Source organism: Homo sapiens, chromosome 7, assembly GCF_000001405.40.
Source record: "Homo sapiens chromosome 7, GRCh38.p14 Primary Assembly".
NCBI classification, from domain to species: Eukaryota; Metazoa; Chordata; class Mammalia; order Primates; family Hominidae; genus Homo; species Homo sapiens.
The window spans coordinates 123,748,574-123,770,468 of NC_000007.14; the positions used below are offsets into that span (position 1 = coordinate 123,748,574).

Sequence of the window (21,895 nt, forward strand, 5' to 3'; positions counted from 1 at the left end):
GTGAGGTAATGTCACGGGTGGCGACGCGGGTCTCGTCCACTGACCACACATTTCTTGCCGAGGAAAGTGAAGAGGGACTCGTTCTCCTGCGGGGTGAGCAACAGGGACCCCACGTTGGTGACCCTCCGCGGCGGCGGCGGCTGCTGCTGGACGGAGCTCATGGTTTCGCCGGCGGGGTTGGGAGTCCAGGGCCGTCTCCTCCGGCGAGTGGGCGAGAGCTCGTTCCCCCTCTCGGTGACAGGGGCGGGGAGAAGTGGAGTCAGAGGCGCCACATCTCGCAGCTCCTCCGGAGCGGGGAGGAGGACGAGGTCGAGGGAAGCAGGCGCTGACGGCGAGCCACCTTCGCGCCGCGCTGAGAAAGGGAAGCTCCCGGCACCCGCCCGGCCAGGCTAGGGCCGGATGGTCGTTGTCCTCGCACTCCGGCGACTGCGCTAAACTCCCAACTCCTCCCCCAACCCTCCCGCAGCGGCGGCGGCGGCCGCACAATCCAACATGGCAGCGGGGGCGGGCGAGACCACAGGACGGAGGGCGCGGGGGAGCGCGCCGGAAACGCGCGGCTGCGGCCCGGGAGAAACCCCCCCACTCGGCGGCGGGCCTCGCGGCGCGGGCCCGAAGCCACGCCCCCTTCCGGCCGAGGCGCGGACCGCGCGGAGCTAAGTGGAATCCCGGTTGGCTTGGGGCGCAGGCTTCCAACTTCGTACTCTGGCCTCTGGCGTCTCGGCTCGTCGGTTGGGTACCCGAACCCAGCTACTGCTGCTTGAAGAGAAGATGGATGGGGACTCCTCGCCGTCGCTGCGCCGCCGGCCTTCCCTGGGCGGACGTACACCTTTGCGAAGCGTCAGTGAGGACCCAGGGCCCCTCCTTGGAATAGCTCTTATTTCTCAAGCGCTGCAGCGTGAAGCTCGCTCTGCGGGTCCGAGAGGCCTGCGATCTGAAGACTGAAAACTGGGAAGAGACGCTCTACCCTGTGCTCCTCGCCGGCTTCGATAGGAGCCGCAGGTGCCTGGGATTTTCTCAAACTTTGTCCCAAACTTCAGCTGTGGGAGTGGAGGAACAAACAGGCCTCTCCCAGAATTGTGAAAGAGATCGCCCTGGTGGATGAAACAAAAACAAATGCACTTGACTTCCACCGCCTGCCTGGCGTGTCACGCGGGTTTAATGTATGTGTCACATTTAAATTCAAAGTATTTTCTTCTAAGGGCCTGGACACATTTCTTTTCTCCCTGTATCGTGAATTGGAAAATACCTTAGGATATTAAAAGTTATCTAAGATAACCCCCTTTCTTCTGTAAGTTAAATACTAAACGGCTTAAGACGAAATTTTGGAATATAGAGATGATGATGCAGACTGCAGTGAATTATCAAATATGCATCTCACTGTTCTCCACATTAAACATATTTTTGTTGCGTAAATTCATGTTAAGACGTCTATAACAATTACACTTTGGTAAAATTGTTGGATGTTAACATCTCTGATAGCTCCCAATAGAAATCTCTGATGTACTAACCAGACTGGTAAACCATTATCATGCACTTTGAAAATATAATAAAATATTATAATTAAAGCTGCCATTAATGAAATAGGCTGAGCAACAATAAATTTACAAAGGAAAATAAAAGTGGATAGCCTTGGGAGTTCTCACATAAAATATGGAGATTTCAAAGTTAAACTTGATTAATTATGTTAGGGTAAAAAGTGAATTAAAGCAACAGGACTATTTATAAAATAATTAGATTTAGAAAGCAGTCGTAGAAATATAAGCCTGGAGTTGCCTCTGAATTACATATTTAACAAACCTAGAAGCTAAATCAGTTTGTCTTTTATCAAAACTGCAACTCCTCTAAGTTGAAAGCACAGTGACAAGAGAAAGCATTACAAATTCTTGAGAAATAATAGAAATTAAAGCTCTTTTCAAACCTGTGAACAAGTATAGTACCAGAAGTATAAGATTCAGATAGGCCCAAGTTGTAGTTCTTGTTATGAGTCTTACAACCCTATGGACTTTGGACAAATTACTTCTCTGCGTCTGTTTCCTCATCTGTAAAATGAAAATAATTTCTGTTTCATACAGGTATAGTCTAAATAGGGATAATTACACCTACTTCAAAGTTGTAAAATACACAATTACAACTAGATAGGAGGTATAAGTTCTAGTGTTCTGTAGCACTGTAGGATGACTATAGTTAACAATATTGTATAGTTTCAAATAGCTAGAAGAAGGATATTGCATGTTCCCAAAACAAAGACATAAGTTTTTGAGATGATAGATATGCTAATTACCCTAATCACTATATGTTATATGTATTGCAACATCACTATGTACCCCCATAAATATGTACAGTTATTGTGTATTAAAATTTTTTTAAACTAAAATTATAAGACATTAAAAAAAGGTATCACATGTAAAGTACCTGATACATAGTGGTTACTCAAGTATTAGTTGTCGGCCATTGACAGTCCTTGCCTATGGTCTTTTCTGCTTTCCCTGAGCTAAGGGATCAAGACTTAATATATGTATTCTTACCTTTGTTCTAATTCTGACTCTTCAAAAACTGTCCTTCAAATATACAATTGTACATATTTTTTCAAAAATATAGTGAAGAACTTGATAGCAGAATTTCTGATTAGGCCATATATTATATCAAATAGGCTACATATATCCCAGTATGCCAAAATAAAACTTTTTAAAACTGTAAATCCAGAGATAGAATCCTATTAGCTTCTAATTTAATAAAAACTGAAAGATTAGCAAATTTTATGTTAGAAATACCAGCTTTTAGAACTTGTAGACCACCAAACTATTTTGAAGACAGGAAAGAGTAGTGGGAGAGGGCTGTGAAAAAAAAAAAAAAGGCCATGAGATGATAGGTGAATGGACAGTAGCTGCGTTCAAGAATTTATCTCATTCTGAGAATTATTGAGTTCCAATCATTTCACAACCTCTTACTAGCCTAGACTATCTATTGTTTTGATTTTCTTTTCTTTCAGGAAATTTTATGACTTATCTAAATGCAATTTTCTTTTTACTATTTGCCCTTTTTCTGTTTTCTTTAGACTTGGAGATGGAAAATGATGACCACAGTAGACTTTTTTCCTCAGGTCCAACCTTTCTTTAATTTTTCTCCAAATTTTTAGTATAGTCCTTTGTCCACAAAATTGCAATTTAAGTTCTTGTCTTCTACCCTCCATTGTTATTTTTGTTTTTCTCTGGGCTTTTTCCAACTCTTGATGTGGAAAATGTAAGCATGAACATTTCACTGGAAATATGACTTCCTTACTCATTTAAGCCTGTGAACAAGCAATATTTGGGGATTCCCTCCTTACCATACATAAAGGATTCTATTTTTCCATACTCATCCTGAGACCAAGCAGTACTGGCTGTTTTTGTTTCAAAAGTTTTAGCAAGTCCTTTCTTTCATTCTTGATAGCATATCCTCTGTTTGGCAGAACACAAGACATCTTTTCTCTCTGTTTTCTTTGGCAAGTTATTTCCTTATCTCAAATTTTTTTACCCAGTTTGAGAGATTGGATTTTATCCAGGACATAAGCATTCTGTTTCCCTTCAACAGAGTATCTTGAAGTTTGTAAGCGCTGTTAAGAAGACTAGGGGTTTTATCTTAATATACATATAAAATGCATATGCTAGAAATACCAGCTTTCAGAGCTTGTAGACCACCAACCTATTTTGAAGACAGGAAAGAGTAGTGGGAGAGGGCTGTGAAAAAAAGCTTTATTACGGTGTATATGAATATAACAAAAAAAAGGCAATTCTTACATTTAATTTCTTCCATTTGACTCTCCTTACCTCAACTAGCATCTATTCTAGTACTTCATTTTCTTCTTTCTTTGGTATGATCTTTTAAGGTAAAGCCCTCATTTTAACAGAAAACATTAGGGTAGCTTATTATGGAAATGAGAGCATATTTTCAGATACATTCCTGCTGTTATCCTTATGGGTACTTTGCAAGCTTCTCTTGTTACGGTTCTTTGTTATATATTTTTCTTCTTTACAAATGTCATTGTTTATGTACTGTTAAAAGTCCTCTGAAACACCCTATTCCCCTTGCTAATGTTAATAATTTAAAATGTAGTGACACCCTTTACTGTGGGGGAATATAAAGGTGGCTGAAAGCACACGGCATTCAGCAGCCATTGTAGCCATAATTGCTGCTTGGCTATGGCAGAACTGATTTTATAGAGACAGAACAACAGCAAATCTGAATACTGCAAATCTGGATTTGCAGAAAAAGTGCAGGGGCAATGAGTGCTACTTCTCCCATGCAACCTCCAGAAATGTCATGTGTCTAAAATGTTCGTCTTGTAAAATATCTGCACATTTTTATGTAAATGTTGCATATGGCAATGCTTACAAGAATTTATTCTAGTACATGTTATCCCAAGTTAAATGTTAATTGTTTTCTTTTTCATCAACTAAATTCTGAAAAGTAAGCTAGCACACCATTTTTTTTCTGCCTCTCCTTTTTAAATTCATTTTAACTACAAACCTCTTTGGGGCTTTCTTTTTTAGGAATAAATAGTTTATTTACAAATCATTCTGATTTCTTATTGAAGTTAGTGGAAAATTGAACACTTATTCATGCTACAAAATTACCAGTGATAGTTACTACCATTATATGTCCTAGTCTCCAAATACCTAGTACTTACCTGTAATCAAGAAATGATTTGAAGAGCTAAGTATGTTATAGTTCCCAGGATGCTGCTTATGGTTTTCTGGCTGCTCTTTAACTTTAATGAATATTCAATGGCTTATTATTATTCCAAATGAGAGAGAACAACATTGATTTCTTTATTGTAATGTTCTCAAGGTCAATCTACATTATAAATGAGTAGGCAGGCTGGATACTTGGGAAAATTTGAAGATGCCACATGTCCCCATTACCACATTGAAATTATTGGGGTCAAGGATATGGTCTCTGCTACCATGTAACATTTTTAAAATCAATTTTTATTTTTATACAAATGATAAATGCACATAATTTAAAAAATCAAATAGTAGTACAAAACTTAAAACAGCATAAAACAGAAGTTACATTCTTGGACCACTTTAACTTTGTTGGATTTTACCCCCCTCAATAATTTGCTTAAATTTTATTTCTTTTATTTCTTCTATATTAAGAACTATAAAGTCCTTCCTCATATTATTTTCCACATAATCAAGTGTATCAGGAATCTATTAGACTCACTAATTTTAATCAAAGACCTGTCTCCCAAAGCCATCCATCATCCCATATTAATCTGTACTGTTGCTACATGGCTATTGTCTGGAATTTTATTGAGTTACTATCCTGGGATTTCCCTTTATCTTTCTGTATTAGACCCTCTGTTTCTTGGAACCTATGTCATCCATCTTGATGTACTCCCTTGTTTTGATAGTGTATATCCTTTAGTGGCTTCCTAAGAAAAAGTGCATAGATAGTAAAATTTTGAGACCTTGCATAGCTGATAGTTTTATTCTAATCTCACTCTTGGTTGATTAGTTTAACAGGGTAGAAAATTTCAGGTTGAATACCAGTTTTCTTCAGTATTTGAAGGTGTTATTTTATTGATTTCGAACTTTCAACATTGCTGTTGAAATCTGAAGTTATTCTGATTCTGATCTTTTGTATATAAGTCTTTATGACCTCTAAAAGTTTTCAGAATTCTGTTTGTTTATGGAATTCTGAAAGTTGATGATGTACCATAGTGGAATACTTTTACATTTATTGTACTGGGTATTCCAAAGGCCCTTTTTATCCAAAAACTCATGTCTTTTAGTGCTGGAAATTTTTCTTTTGTTATTTTCATATTTTTCTTCCCCTTTTTTCTCTTTTCGCTTTCTGGAATGCCTGTTGGTCAAATGTCAGATTTTCTGACTCATTCTATACAATTAGAAAGCACACCCAAGTTTCACTGTGGAACTACTCCAGTGAGCCCTTCAGTGTGGTCATCTCTGGGCAGAGATACTATAGATTTACTGCTAACATTGGGAATTGGAAACTAGAATCTCTTCTGAGATTCTAAAAGCAGGGTGTTTCTGCTGCCATCCTTGCTGCCCTTTGCCACATGCTTCTTCACTTTATGTGTTTTCAAATCACAGTTGCCCATGGGTGTGTCTGATGAGGGAAAGGTCACATACCTGTACCCTAGCTGCAAAAGAGCTGGAGATTTCAGGCTCGTTGTTAAGGGTCTGCGGATTCATAAGGTCAGAAATTCCATGAACACAGAAAAAGTATTCAAAAGGTACTCAGCAGCTAGTGAATTCAACTGGGGACAGTTGGAACTTCAGGATGTTTGATGACTGGGGAGAGGGTCTTTGTTAAGAAAAAGCAATAATATGAAATATTAATGCTTTCCAATTTTATCAAGATGATAGCATTTTTGTGTACTGAATTACATGCATATTACATACATAATAAAATTGTAAAACTCTGTATCTAGGAAGTAAATAGTCTTTATTTATTTTTGCCTCCATACAAAGTCTTTAATAAGAACTGTGTTTTTCCCCCACATTAACTAGGTTACTTGTCCTTAGAAAGTTGGTAATGGTTGAATGGGTTAGTACTATATGTTCATACACGTTGATATCATTTATCTATAAATAGCTATTTAGCTGATTCATTAAAGCAAATTGAAGTAAGTCATTTTGATATAATAAATTGTCAAAGTCAGTGATATGCAGGCTTTTCATTTGTAAATTGTAATTACTTTTTAAATGTTTGTCTCCTACATTAGCCTCAAAGCTCTCTAAGAGCTGGTATCATGTCTTATTCATCTTTGTATCTTTTTAGTCTTAACATTGAACCTATACATTATTCAACGTATATTTGTAGATCAAATGACCACCTTTGATTCAAATAAAAACATATGAATTTTTATCAGGTACAAAGATAGTTACACAGGATCTGAGATCAAATAAAGAGAAACCACAGTCTTGCCCAAACTCTTCCACACAGTACTAAGCATGTGGTATTCTGAGAGCACCTGGAGAGAAAACACAATACATAAGAAACTGCACACAACCTAATGGTAGCAGGAGCAGGGCTTGTGACAACAGCAATAGAAAGGAATGACCTCCACTTGAGATGACCCAGCAACCTAATTCAAGTCCAGAGGATAAAGTGATTTTTTTTTTTTCCTCCTGAGTGAGCTCAGGTGTCCAGGGGCCTAGTCTGAGAAAAGAAATGTGTGTCATATTTTAGGGATTTGGGGGAATAATAGTTTTTAGCATGAAGTGATTGCAAAAACACTAAGTCAAGGCTTCACTTGGTCTTAGAAAGCAACTCTGGAAGCATATGGAAGCAAGCTTAGTATCCAGGAGCGTTGGAAACTAAAGTGAAAATAACCAGGACAAAAAATAGGCTGGCATCCCAATGGACTGGGGGAGACTGGCCAGCAGTTCTCATAGCAGCATTAGCATCACATGTTAGAAATGCACATTCTCAGGCCCCACTCTTGACCCACTGAACCTGAAACTCTGGGGATAGGACTCATCAGTCTATGTTTTAAGAAGCCCTCCTGGTGATTCCAATAAGTAGACCTTCAAGACGACCTCCAGGGGATGAAATTTACCACCCCCACCAGCCACCTTCCACCCTTTCCCAAGCATATAAGGCTTATGGCATTACACAAACTATGTTTGAATCATATTCTTTTGAGGGGACGGAACTTGTAATGAACCACTGGGATTTATTCTTGTCAGTTTAAGACCTAGATAGGATAGAGTCTGTAGGTGGAATGTCTTCATTGTTCACACCTGGCAAAATAGCTGTAAGGGCAAGCAGGTATTTATTAGCTATAGCTTTTCTGATCTGAGTTCCGATAGTAACTAGCCATGAAATCTTACTAAAATCACTCAACTTCATCATGCTTCTCTTTACTCATTTGTAAAATGAAAGGAATGACTTAATGATTGCTAAGGTCCTTCTCAGCTCAAAATTATATAATCAATCCCATGTATTTTGGATTTTAAAAAAATCCTGCATTTTAAAAAGCAATGGGTAAAAGGCAGTGCATAAGGGAATATAAACAATTTCATGGCTTTTTCACTATTACAAATCCTTTTTTGGTGGTATGAAAATGAATATATAAGCCTTATCATAAGCCTACTCTATTGAAAGAGGGATTGGTAAAGAATACAATCCCCAGAACATAAAAATCCTGCTTTTAGTTACCTCAGAGCAGGAAGGAAGGGTAATTGGTGACTGTGGTTTCATGGAATTATTGATCTAATATTTGCCATTTATATTCAAAACTGGATTGCATGGTACTTGATAGTTGTTACATCAGTCATGATTCTCAGTTCCCTGTGGCTGGAAGTTAGTAGTATTCATTGATTTTTTTGTTTTGTTTTTTAATAGAGAAGGAAACACATTGAACATGCAAACAACTTAGAGTCGATGGTCACATTAGAATAAGTTCCTCATTCCTAGTTTAGGGAGTCATTCCTCTCAATATCTTTACTTAGAATCAGTTTAAAAATTAAATTACATATTCGCTTTCTCACATTCAAATTTCCTTTTAGGAAGATAGAATATTGGCACTTTTCTTTCATCTTGATCCTCTTCATACTGAAGCTATTGTGTGTTTATTATATGTTCTGTTGGACTGGAGCTTTGAACTGATGAAAGAGGAAAGCTATAACAAGCATCAGGGCTGACTTGGTATGTTGACTCAGTTCCCACATAATGATGGTATCTATATGCATGCACATTATAATGTTCTGACACACAGAAGGAAAACGTGTTCCCCTGTCTCAATTTCCTGTTTTAATGCAAGTCCATACAACACCCCAATCTTCCTCAGGATCTCCAAGCACCCTTGGATTTATTGTGTCATAAGGGACAATTCACACACTACCTCACCTCAGCCTGAACTTACTAGAGAGTCTTCTTTTGCTCTCAGTTCCATTGAGAGATAGCAGCATTGTGATCATTGGACAGTGTGATTGAAACAAGGCACTCAACTGTGCCTTCTTGTCATTATCATCCAGAAAGGCCCACCAAGCCTTGTTCTTGCTGGAAAGGCACGAAAGGAATAGCAACATGTCCTTCATTTTGAAGCACATATTTCTGCATGCCTCAGAATAACGGACCCCCAGAAACACCCCTGAGGTATCAGGCTCCTATATTTCATGGCATTTCTATCCCCCAGCATTCATTTATGTGACCAAGGACATAGTGTACTTGCAACTTCCTGCTCTACCGGTCATTTCAGCATGATGTTATTTTGTACAATGAGCTAGTCTGATATCAAGTGGAATAGGAAGATGGTCTAGGATAATTGCCCTCTGCTTAAAAATGAGCTGACCTGTGAGGCACACAACATCCTTCCCATAAATTCCCTTTTGCTTTAGCTAGCCTGGGTCAGATTCTGTTATTTACAAAAACTCTAGGTGATTCTGAACTGGAAACCCTAGGTATTCTAAAATTTGTACCATGAAGGTGGTTACAAGCAACAGATCTTTCAGAAAACTGGGTCATTTGGCACTGTTTACCTGGCTATACTGGAGCAAGAGGTGGTGAAACTCTCATTTATATTCCAAGATGGGAAACTAGCATCAGACAATTACATTACTGCCTCTGGTTATTAGGATCTAGAAACTTCTGAGGTTCTAGAAAGCTTTATGGCCAGGATCAGCAAACTACACTCCACCTATCCTGTTGCCTGCTTTTGTAAATAGAGCTTTTTGGGGGGGACATAGCCATGACCATTCTTTCAGTATTGTCTATGACTGCTTTCATGCTACAACAGCAGAGTTGAGTAGTTGTACCAGAAACCTTATGACCTGCAAAGCCTCAAATGTTTATTATCTGGCCATTTACAGAAAAAGTTTGCCAACCCTTGCTTTAGGTAACTGCATAGTTTTTGCCATCGAATAATAGAAGGGTGAGGAATTCAAGAATTGTGAGATAGCATTAGATAAATTAACCAGTAAGAATGAATGAATGTTGCCTCTGAGGATAGCCTGCTACAGGGATATTTTATGATAATTCTGAAAAAAATATATCCCTGATAGTTACAGGACTGAGACAGCCAAAAGTGAAACTCATGATTTGATCCAGGGCTGCTAAACTAATAATTTATGAATTAAAGTATCTTAAATACTTCATAATGAGATAGGAGATGACCATGAAAATAATTAATAACAAAGACAGTCTATCTTTGTGTAAATTTCTTATAAGAATCATTAAACTTAGGATGTTACTTTTTTTAAAACAAAACAGACAACTGTTCAAGTGTGCTGATCTTTCCAGTGACAAGAAATCACTGTTAGTAGATACTTTTGAAAAAAGAAAAAGAAAGCACACATTTACTATGTGGCTTCAAGGTTTTTAACCATGAGTGAGAAAGTAACTACTTCTCAAAAGAAACTTACATTGTCAAAAGCATGTTTTGAAAACAGTCATTTGGAATCTTGTCCATCATTATGTGACTTTAAAGTTCAAAATGATAAAATATGTCACCTGTAAAAACATGTATTTCTAAACTTAAAAACAATCTTCAAACCTGTTTAAAATTTTTCCAAGTAAAAAAATTTTGGTGTTTTCTTATTTGCTGAAAATATGGAAATGAAATACTTCTCAGTTTGCAAGAAAATTACTATCAAAATTTTAACAAATTTATAACAGGTGAATACAATTGAAAAACATAAGTATTATGCTCAACTAAGCAAATTCATGTGTATTTCTCCCAGGCGGGTGTATATTCATGTGTTTTGTAAAGCGTCCTTTTCAGTTATGGCCACTAAAATATAGTATAGATAAAACTCACCTTATAGCAAAACCTTTGGATCCCATGTCAAAAAGTGTTAAGCCAAATTTTCAAAAATTACGGAGCATATTCAATCACATTGCATGCATTAAAAACTATTTTCTTAATATTTTAGGGCAAGCAAACAATTGTTTTGTTTTACTATTAATTTATTGGCCTTTTTACAGAAACTTCTTTTGGTATCATTGATGTTCTTTATGGTTTTCTGTTTTTTACTTATTTGATCTGTGATCATTAAATATGATGCTAGATGCCATTTATTAAATTGAGGAAGTTCTTTTCTATCCCATCTTCCTGTGAGGTTTTCCTCATAAATTTTGTCAAATGCTTTTTCTGTTTATGTTAAATAAGCTCATATTTTGTCTCCTGTTTAGTCTGTTGATACAGTGAATTATACTGATTTTTATTTTTATTTTTATTATACTTTAAGTTCTGGGATACACGTGCAGAAGTGCAGGTTTATTACATAGGTATACATGTCCCATGGTGGTTTGCTGCACCCATCAACCCGTCGTCTACATTAGGTATTTCTCCTAATGCTATCCCTCCCCTTGCCCCCCACCACCCCCCACAGGTCCCAGTGTGTGATGTTCCCCTCCCTGTGCCCATATGTTCTCATTGTTCAACTCCCACTTATGAGTGAGAACATGCGGTGTTTGATTTTCTGTTCCTGGAATTACACTGATTTTAAAATGTTGAAACAGGCTTGCATTCCTGGGATAAACCCCAGTTGATCATGATATATGATCCCTTTTTAAATATTGCTTAATTCCAATTGTTGATAATCTGTTAAGGGTTTTTGTGCCTATAAAATATTGGTCTAAGAGGATAGATCTCCTCTTCCAGCTCTAACAGCTGAAGGACTTTTCTGATGCTGATTTCCCAGATTTCCAAGTAATTCCAATTCCTCCACGCCCTGACTCTAAACACTGTCATTTCATGTTGAGCTCCCTTATAGTGACCACTGTTAAGATCATCATCTCCCCCAATGCAAAGATCTGCCTTCTGAACCAGAACTTTTCCACAGTGCCTGAAGCTGCACATGCCACCAGTTCCTGTTCATTCCCAGTGGTGAACTGATTTTCAGTTATTTCCCAGATGGTCATAGTGTTCTGTATCCTAATGTAGTTAGCACTCTCTCAACATGGAATTCAGTAATTCTTTGATAGCCTAGGAATTCTTCAAGTGGCAATAAAGGTAACTCAAGCACCCATTAGGTCTGGCATCTCTGTACTCACTGAGCGAAGCACTTTGCTCTTCCTAAGGCCTTCTGCTTTGCTGCGCTCTACATTTCCTTGTTTCCTTTTGCTCCATCAGTGATTCTGAGTCCCTTCTTGCCTATATACATCGTTTTGTTTTCTCCATTGGCTCTTTCTGGTCAATGTATAAATATGTTCAGATATCTCTCAAATTAAAAACTATTTTCATTAAAATAATCAATTTAAATAAGTAAATACCCTGACTGTTACTAATTCGTATCTTTCCTCTTCACAGACAACCTTCTAAAAACAGTAATCTATACTCATTGTCTACTTTCCTTTCTCTTTCACTCATCAAGCAATGTGAGCTTGTTTCCATCCCCAATATTTTAATATTGGGGGTGACATCTAATATTTAATGTGACATTTTTGTCACATAACTAAATGTGAATTGGACATTTTCTTCTTTGCAAGCTCTCTACCATCAATCAATATGGTGTCTATCGGTCCTATGTAGGGTGTCTCTATCCTGCTTATATGATCACTCATTTGCCATTCTCTATGGCTCTGCATCTTAAATATTAATTCCACCCAGAGTTCTATCATTTTGCCTCATTTATTTGGCCTTGAATAGAATAGGGGTCCCCAGAAGATTTAGTGAATAGGTGAATTTTAATTTTTTTTTTTTTTTTTTTTGAGACAGAGTCTCGCTCTGTTGCCCAGGCTTGAGTGCAGTGGCGCGATTTTGGCTCACTGCAAGCTCCGCCTCCCGGGTTTACCCCATTCTCCTGCCTCAGCCTCCCCAGTAGCTGTGGCTACAGGCACCCACCACCACACCCGGCTACTTTTTTGTATTTTTACTGGAGATGGGGTTTCACCATGTTAGCCAGGATGGTCTCAGTCTCCTGACCTCGTGATCTGCCTGCCTCGGCCTCCTGAAGTACTGGGATTACAGGTGTGAGCCACCGCACCCAGACAGGTGAATTTTAACTTTCTAATCCGATTCATCAGAATAATATAAGGTAGCATTACCGAGCACTTACGACATGCCTGACACCATGTTGAATGCTTTAGATACGTTTCCATTTAATTCTTTAGTGGTTTATAAGAGATATTATTAACAGCACGTTTCAGATTTAGAAAACTTGCACAAGGTCAATGAGAGAGGCAACTCCAATCTGAGTCTTTTGACAGCAGAGCCTGTGTTCTTAACAGTGACACTATTAATGTCGACAGCTTTTATTGCCCTCTTTGTGATTCCCAGGTATTTCTCCAAACCTCTCTTCTGAGGTCTGGACTATAGCTACAACTGATAAGTTCCTCAAAGTCATTGTGTACACATCTGTACTCACGATCTTTGTTTAAAATCTTTTCTGTGTTTCCTATCTCAGTGTTTAATACCACCACACTCTCTTTTCCAATTAGAAACCTCAAAAACCATCTTGTCCTCCTATTGCTCACATTGTTCCTGCCCTCTAATCTTCAGTCACCACCTCCCGTCAATTTTATCTCCTATTATCCCTCCACCACCACTTCCTTTTCATCTCTTCTGCCTGTGCCCTAAATCAAGCATCCTTCACTACCTCACTTCTCTCGCCAGTTTTATTCTCACAATTCACCCAGCACATCATTGCCAGCATGCAAGTGAGAATCTGATCATGTTACTTTCTCTCCTAAAAATTCTTCAGAGGCTCCTCATTGTTTGCAATATTGTGTCTGGAATTGGTGGGTTCTTGGTCTCACTGACTTCAAGAATGAAGCCACGGACCCTCGCGGTGAGTGTTACAGTTCTTAAAGGCAGCGTGTCTGGAGTTTGTTCCTTCTGACATTTGGATGTGTTCAGAGTTTCTTCCTTCTTTCTGGTGGGTTCGTCCTCTAGTTGGCTTCAGGAGCAAAGCTGCATACCTTCCCGGTGAGTATTACAGCTCATAAAGGAATTGAGGACCCAAAGAGTGAGCAGTAGCAAGATTTATTGCAAAGAGCAAAAGAACAAACCTTTCAGTGTCGAAAGGGACCTGAGCAGGTTGCCACTGCCAGCTCAGGCAGCCTGCTTTTATTCTCTTATCTGGCCCCACCCACATCCTGCTGATTGGCCCATTTTACAGAGAGCCGATTGGTCTGTTTTACAGAGAGCTGATTGGTCCGTTTTGACAGGGTGCTGATTGGTGTGTTTACAATCCCTGAGCTAGACACAAAAGTTCTCCACCTCCCCACTAGATTAGTTAGATACAGAGTATGGACACAAAGATTCTTCAAGTCGCCACCAGAGTAGCTAGATACAGAGTGTCGATTGGTGCATTCACAAACCGTGAGCTAGACACAGGGTGCTGATTGGTGTGTTTACAAACCTTGAGCTAGATACAGAGTGCCCATTGGTGTATTTACAATCCCTTAGCTAGACATAAACGTTCTCCAAGTCCCCACCAGAGTAGCTAGATACGGAGTGTCCATTGGTGCATTTACAAACCCTGAGCTAGACACAGGGTGCTGATTGGTGTGTTTACAAACCTTGAGCTAGATACAGAGTGCCGATTGGTGTATTTATAATCCCTTAGCTAGACAAAAAGGTTCTCCAAGTCCCCACCAGACTCAGGAGCCCAGCTGGCTTCACCCAGTGGATCCCGCACCAGGCGCAGGTGGAGCTGCCTGCCAGTCCCGCGCAGTGCGCCGCCACTCCTCAGCCCTTGGGTGGTCGATGGGATTGGACGCCGTGGAGCAGGGGGCGGCGCTCGTCAGGGAGGCTCGGGCTGCGCAGGAGCCCCAAGGCGGTGCGGAAGCTCAGGCATGGCGGGCTGCAGGTCCCGAGCCTTGTCCCGCGGGGAGGCAGCTAATGCCCTGCGAGAAGTCGAGCACAGCAGCTGCTGGTTCAGGTGCTAAGCCCCTCACTGCCCGGGGTGGCGGGGCCTGCCGGCCACTCAGATTGCGGGGCCCGCCGAGCCCACGCCCACCCGGAACTCGCGCTGGCCCGCAAGCACCGCGAGCAGCCCCGGTTCCCGCCCGCGCCTCTCCCTCCACACCTTCCCGCAAGCTGAGGGAGCCGGCTCTGGCCTTGGCCAGTCCAGAAAGGGGCTCCCACAGTGCAGCGGCGGGCTGATGGGCTCCTCAAGCGCGGCCAGAGTGGGCGCCAAGGCCGAGGAGGCGCCGAGAGCGAGCGAGGGCTGCGAGGACTGCCAGCATGCTGTCACCTCTCAATGTAAGATTTGAGTTCCTTACCATGACATGTAAGGCCCTTTAATATCTCTTCCTTCCAGCAGCTTCAGCCTCATCCTCTGGTAGCTGCTCCTCCCACCTCCAACCCCTCACTCAAACTTTACACTCTGTCAGTACTTGTAGTTCCCTGAACAGGCCACGCTTTTCTCACACTTTATTCCCTCTCCTTGGAATGTCTTCTCTCCTGTTTCCCCCAGTGTGTCTCTCAGGCAAGCTTTCCTTCAATAAATTAGTTTGTTGTTGTTTTTTGAGACAGTTTCACTCCAATGCCCAGGCTGGAATGCAATGGCAAGATCATGGCTCATGCAGCCTTGAACTCCTTGGGCTCAGGTGATGTTCCTACCTCAGGCTACTGAGTAGCTGGGACTACAGGAGCGCATCACCACGCCTGACTAATTATTTGTAGAGAGAGGACCTCACTGTGTTGCCCAGGCTGGTCTTGCACCCCCAGGCTCAAGCAATCCTCCCACTTGAGCCTCCCAGTGCTGGGATTTTAGGGGTGAGCCATCGTGCCCAGCCTCCTTCAATATTTATGTTGGGTGTTTACCACCTCAAGAAGCCTTCTCTGAATTTCCCGGGTGAGTTGTCCCTTGTTCCTCTGTGCCCACATTGCAACTTGCATCTAATCCCCTCACAGCTTAAAATGAATTGAACTTATTTGTACTTATCTGTCCCCTCATTTGACTCTAAGGAGATGGATCCTGACATTTACAATTACATGTCCCCGAATATGTATGTTTTTCATGAAGATGATCCTCCACTGCCTAGCACAGAGTCTAGGGATCTCAGTAAGAATTTGTTGACTAATGATTAAAGCATATAGTAGGGAGAAGGGAGGAAAGAAAGGAATGGAGTGAGTGACGAAGGGAAGATGCTTGGGAGTTTTAAGAAACTTTCCTTGTAGCTCTCTATCTCTTTTTCTGCTAAATAATCTTGGATCTCCCAATGCTAAATATTTTATTTTAATCATGGCTGAAACTTCTGTTCTCACCTGTTTGGATATAAATGCCAAAGTCATCCTCTGTAGCCAGGTAAGTGCCTTGAAAATTCTCCCACCTTCATTGGAAGATCTTTTGCCAGCTACCAGCTTCCACTCCAGTTTTAGTTCTTTTTTATGGACACTCTTGATCCATAACAATCTGATAAGAAAAGAAAACAAAATTTTCTTTTGAAAGTGACAGTGATGCTTAATGATAGAAATATATTCAACCAAAGTGTCAGATTGCCCAGCAATAACATATTATAATTAAATAGTCTGTCTAAAGATATTTCTATTACAAAAAAATGCAACATTAAGTACGTAACAGCTACTTATTTTGGACATTTTGTTCATCAGTCAGAATATGTGTTAATTTTTAATTAATAAAAATCAATTTCTCAAAGAAAAATATATTTCTGGAAGTTTTTGCATTTTAACTCTTTTGAGTTAACAAAGCTATCAGTGATAAATAAAAAAAATTGTCACTCTGAGGGTGAAGAAAGATGAAAAGATGATAACAGAGATGCTTTGTCTGTATAGAAAAATGTTGTTCTCTAAGCAAGTTTCTAAGAAGGGTTAGGGAAGAGTTTTTGTGTCAGTGTAGGTAAGGAGAAAAATAGCATACAATTAACTATACATTAGGGATTTTTGCAAGTCAAGAGTTTAAAATGTAATCTTTAATTAGGTAGAGAAATCCCCACTCTTCAGTGTATTAGGTATCTCAGTTCTATGGGAAATGTGGTATGAAAGGGAATTTAAGGTCTGTTACTCTAATAATCTGACCTTAATTCCCTTCTTAGTTTTCATAAACTTTTCAGAAGTAAAATCTGCTAATGAATAGTTTGTATTTTCAAAATTAATGCAATAGAAGGCAAATATTTATGCAATAAAAGAAAAAATAACTTTTAAATATTTATTTTATCAGAAATTAAAACTTAAAGGAACATCTGCTTTTGTAGTCTGCCTTTCTGTAATCAGCATTTCAACTAATCTACTACCAACACAGTGCATCTCTTTATCTTAGTCTTCATATTTATTAAACCAAGGCTATGACTGAAACTACTTTATACCCCAAAATAGCAAACAATATACTCTTCCTGCTTCCTTAGTAAGAGAAACCATTGCCCCAAGGACATTTATTCCCTGGATATGTTTATTCTCTGGATGTGTTCTATCACTCTCTCATGTGAGATTAGGTTTCATTTATTATTGTTTTACTCTTCCTTAAGCTATTTGAATTTCCTCTCCGAAATATGCTTTAGAAAGCCTAACTTCATATCTTTCTCTCGTTTATCTCTTGCTGTCGTTCCATTATGTTACTTGTTCTTTTCTTCAAAAACTATTCTTGATTTCCCACTTTCCCATTCCTATTCCTATAATTCCTAATAGAAAAGGCCTACTACACTTGGATTTCTAACAATGTACATTCTGTACTGAGGGACATTACGCTGGCATCTTACCTATTATGAAAGGTTCCTAATTGTAATTGCTACAGAATTCTTTGAATTACCAAAAGCCTTTTACTTTTTCTCATTAATAATAGTTGTCTTTTGTTCTCTTGATTTTCAAAGCATATGAATCCATTAGCAATATATAGCACCAATATTCTAAAGCCACCTCAGATAGCTAATTGTTTGCTATTCAGCTACTTTCAAAACCCAGTAAGAGATGTGGGGTTTACGAGTTTTCAATGTAAATGCTCATTGAAACCCCCGGGTAACCTAAGCTTATTTTTTTCTTTTCGTTAAATTAGATCCCTGAAAGGCTGCATGGTTGTGCCATATTAACTTAAATTTTATAGAACCAGTTGTACTAAAGTATATTTTTAAAACTGTTGACTTAATGGAAGATTTTATAAGAAAAAACATTAAAAATTTCCTTTTATATTGATGGTTTTATTTGATTATAAAACTATTGCTGAGGATATTCTTCTTAAGTAATAAAGGTTAACAGTCTTCATATAAGTACTAAATGAGAAATTTGTTTTGGAATTTGCCTGCAGAGAATAAATGGGTTTTCCAGAAATATTGACATAATTTTTGTTTTCTGATGATAGTTATAAAATAACATATTTCTCCCCATTTCCTGCCCCAACCCTGACTGCTAGGTTACTCAAAGCAAAACGTGATATACAATCACATTAACTATGTCAATGCTTTTAAAATTTTGGACCCTTGCATGATACCTTCATGATGTTTGCCATATCCTTATATTTCCAGAAGAATAATTTATAATCTAATTTTAATCAAATCATGTTTTTACTTTAGCAAATGTGTCTTATAAGAACATTTGGTTATGATGTGCAGCTATGTATTTAATTCACATTGAAATAGTATTAAACTATCAAATAAAAAATTATATATGTTTAAAATCATCTTACTATCAGTAGTACACATATATTAGAAAACATTAAATTATGTTAACTTTTAGGATTGGCTTATTTTGTCCTCATATATTTGGTTCTGATTTTTCTATTTAATAACTTTATCGTATATGCCTCTCATTGCCTCAAAATATCTTTGCTAAAAGAGACTTTTGGCTGCAGGTGGCAACAATTTAAGTGTAGTAGCTTATGTTTTATTATTGTTGTTGTTTGTTTTGTTTTGTTTGGTGAACTGGATCTATCTGTTCTAATAATGAAAAAGTCCAAGATAGACCTCTTCAGGCTTAGCTGGATCCAGGGCTCAATGACATCAGTAGGTCTCAGTCTTTTATTCTTCATCTTTCAGCTTTATCCTATGAAGCCACTTTTGGACAGACTCCATGTGCTGGCTCCCTGCAGCTCCAGGACATATCACCAACAAGCTTAGCAATAATTTCAGGAAAAACAAACAAGCAAAACAGGACAAAACAAATAAAAAAAACTCTTGTCTTTTCTACAAAGAGCAAAAAAGTCTTAGGTCTGGCTCTCATTGTCCTGACCAGAGTCATGTCCCCATTACTGAACCAATCACCGTGGCATGACATTGAGTTAGGTTGATACAGCTTGAATCATGCACCTATAAGAGATGGGTCAGTTCCACCCACACACATATATTAATAGTAGAGTGGATAGTCCTCTAAAGGAAAAGAGAGGTTTGTTTACCAGTGGTAGGGAAAATGAATGCCAGATACTAAAAAACATCAGGTATGCATCACAAAGTAGGGTTGCCAGATTTAGAGGGGAAATAAAAAGCAGGACACCTGAGGACATTTACAATTCAAATAAACAATGAATAACTTTCAGTATAATTATGTCCCATGCAACCTTTGGGACTGCTTACGCTAAAAAAGTATTTGTTATTTATCTGAAATTCAAATTTAAGTGGGTATTCTGTATTTTATCTGGCAACCCTACCACAAAGGTATGTGAATAAATTTAATTTTTAAAAAATGTAAGATTAAGATTAACTTTAAAAGAATAGGAAAATAAGTAATCTCATATTAGGCAGCCACTTCATCCATCCAGAATCATAGGTGCTATAAACATAACTACAGTACTACATAACCTCAGTAAAAATAAATAACATTTACAATCAAATTGCCATTATTAAAATAAAAACCAAACAATTCGATCTCAATAATGTAAGCAACCTGTTCTCACTTTATTTACATGGGTTTGGTTGATATAATTTAAGTATCTATATTTTGTACTTTCTGGTTTGTTTATCTGGTAAAGACCTATCTTATTAGGATATTTCCACTTGTTTAGCACTCCTGAAAAGTGAAACTATAGGGCATTTTGATTACATTTATTGGGCAATGGCTACTACAATATTGCCTCGATTCATCCTCAGACTCAGAGACTCGGGATGTTTTTTGCTTATGATCATCTGATAGACTTGTATAAGGTAGGCCGATTCATCAGTCAGTGTACACTGTACATCTGCACCAACCTTATGGCAGCACTTCAGCTACCATTTGAGGAGGTACATCTCCTGTTGCATGTAATCTTGGTAGTATTGTCAGTCCAGTGTCCTGCAATCTTTGACCAGGTGAACATGTGACACAACTCAGGCCAGGCAAACAATTTCTCCCTGAATTTTGAGTTTCAAGAGGAATTACTTTGGAGCCAAGAAAAGGAGCTGGTTCATTCTGATCAGCTAGCTGAGGAGATTGTCCATTGGTTACTTTTTTTTGCTATGATTCCAGGCAAATGATGTTGCCCCTGTTTCTGTCCTAAGATTTGTATGAGCCTTTTAATAATTTCCTTTTTGTATGCCACAGTCTGTTTCTGTTTTCAGAGACCCATGAGCATTTCTAAGTAAAGGTAACATTATTTTGACATTTTAAATTGTATTTCTCATGTCAGCTTATAAATTCAACGTAAGAATCTACCAATACTGAAGTAGAATTTTAATGATATCATCACAGGGAGAGAAACACAAGTGAGTTCATTACCTATGTATGTTTAGTCTTCTTTTTTTTCCTAAGTAGAATTATGGGTTCAAGCAAGAGGATCTATCTTAATTTACCTTTCTAATTGTGTCAAGTACATGTTCAAGACACAACGTAAGGCTCTTGGGAAGATGTAAAGATTAAAAAGCATAGTTTTGGATTTCAATGAGTTAATAAAGAAGGTTGGATTCCGTAGGAAGCCAACTTTGGGATGGAGTTTAGCAGTTAGGCTGTGTATAGGAGTGTTTATGGGACCTGTACCTGTTAGAGAGAGGGGAAGGAGGAAGCAGGAGTAGGCAGAAGGAAAAGTTAAATTTGGAGCAGACCCAGCAACAGTTTTGCTGATCCAAGGAAAACCTCTGGGGTTAGAATGGCCCTTCAGAGTATTCCTGACATTGTGTGAATTAGTCATTGTGTATGAGCTGCCAAGAAAGGGGCATGACCTTGACTGAGGTGGCTCTCTGCAATTGGAGCAATACCGAAAAGGCTGGCAGCTGATGGCTTCTGCCAACAGCCCTTCCAGCATGGGGGAAACAAGTCCTCCTGAAGGAGGATCTTGGTGATGCATCACAGTGTCCACTACAATTCACCGTCAAGTGTAAGAGACTACACAATGCAAACATCGGTCTGCTCTATAGTTTAAACAGTCCTTTTGTAAATAACCTCATAGAGTAATAATAGCTGCCTCAAATCTGTAAGTGAAAGAGACTTGAAAAAAAAAAAAAAACACCGTTAAACAAAAAGTTGACCACTTACTAATCCTGGGTAAAATGTGATATGAGGACTCGTGGATTTCACAGACCAGTGAAATTTCTCTCAGCAACTGAAATAACAAACGTGTGGTTATCAGCTTTTATTTTCGCCAAGTAAAGTTTTTTTTTTTAAACAATATTTAAAAAGAGAGGATATTTTAATAATAAAAGGCTGGGCATGATATCAGAATAAAGTTTAAACTAAATAAATATTCCTTTATAAAACGTTCACCTACATTGTTCATTTCATCATGGACAGGAGAAAAGTTTGTCACTGATGGTTTGTCTGTGAACTGACATTTGGAAATCATAACCATAAGTGGGCTATAAAAAAAAAATCCCCTTTGGGAGGCCGAGACAGGCGGATCACGAGGATAGAGACCATCCTGGCTAACACCGTGAAATCCCGTCTCTACTAAAAATACAAAAAGTTAGCTGGGTGTGGTGACGGGCGCCTGTAGTCCCAGCTGCTTGGGAGGCTGAGGCAGGAGAATGGCGTGAACCCGGGAGGCGGAGCTTGCAGTGAGCAGAGATCGCGCCACTGCACTCAAGCCTGGGCGGCAGAGCGAGACTCCATCTAAAAAAAAAAAAAAAAAATCCTGCCGTG

The 21,895-nt window shown here is 38.9% G+C and overlaps 2 protein-coding genes and 1 long non-coding RNA gene across 3 annotated transcripts in view, besides 2 other annotated features; 2 read left to right on the forward strand and 1 right to left on the reverse strand.

The window, feature by feature from the left end:
• Window positions 1–430, reverse strand: part of WASL (WASP like actin nucleation promoting factor) — a 67,061-nt gene extending 66,631 nt beyond the window's left edge. Inside the window, exon 1 of the mRNA NM_003941.4 lies at window positions 45–430. Within this exon, the coding sequence (NP_003932.3) occupies window positions 45–161 (117 nt within the window). The 5' untranslated portion in view covers window positions 162–430. The remainder of the gene's footprint in view (window positions 1–44) is intronic.
• Window positions 160–814: an enhancer, noted in NCBI's record as "H3K27ac hESC enhancer chr7:123388787-123389441 (GRCh37/hg19 assembly coordinates)". NCBI's record gives its function as "activates a minimal SCP1, AML or CMV promoter by ChIP-STARR-seq in primed H9 embryonic stem cells {active_cell/tissue: H9 hESC(primed)}" and the evidence as "EXISTENCE:reporter gene assay evidence [ECO:0000049][PMID:30033119]".
• Window positions 393–712: a silencer, noted in NCBI's record as "silent region_18588". NCBI's record gives its function as "represses an Ori minimal core promoter by ATAC-STARR-seq in GM12878 lymphoblastoid cells {active_cell/tissue: GM12878}" and the evidence as "EXISTENCE:reporter gene assay evidence [ECO:0000049][PMID:35858748]".
• On the forward strand, window positions 622–2,408 carry WASL-DT (WASL divergent transcript). The gene has a single exon (NR_170281.1). It is a non-coding gene; the product is annotated as a WASL divergent transcript (long non-coding RNA).
• A 12,726-nt stretch (window positions 2,409–15,134) lies between these two features.
• Window positions 15,135–21,895, forward strand: part of HYAL4 (hyaluronidase 4) — a 113,774-nt gene continuing 107,013 nt past the window's right edge. The window contains exon 1 of the mRNA XM_047420093.1: window positions 15,135–15,163. The gene's annotated coding sequence lies outside the window, so the exon portion shown is untranslated. The remainder of the gene's footprint in view (window positions 15,164–21,895) is intronic.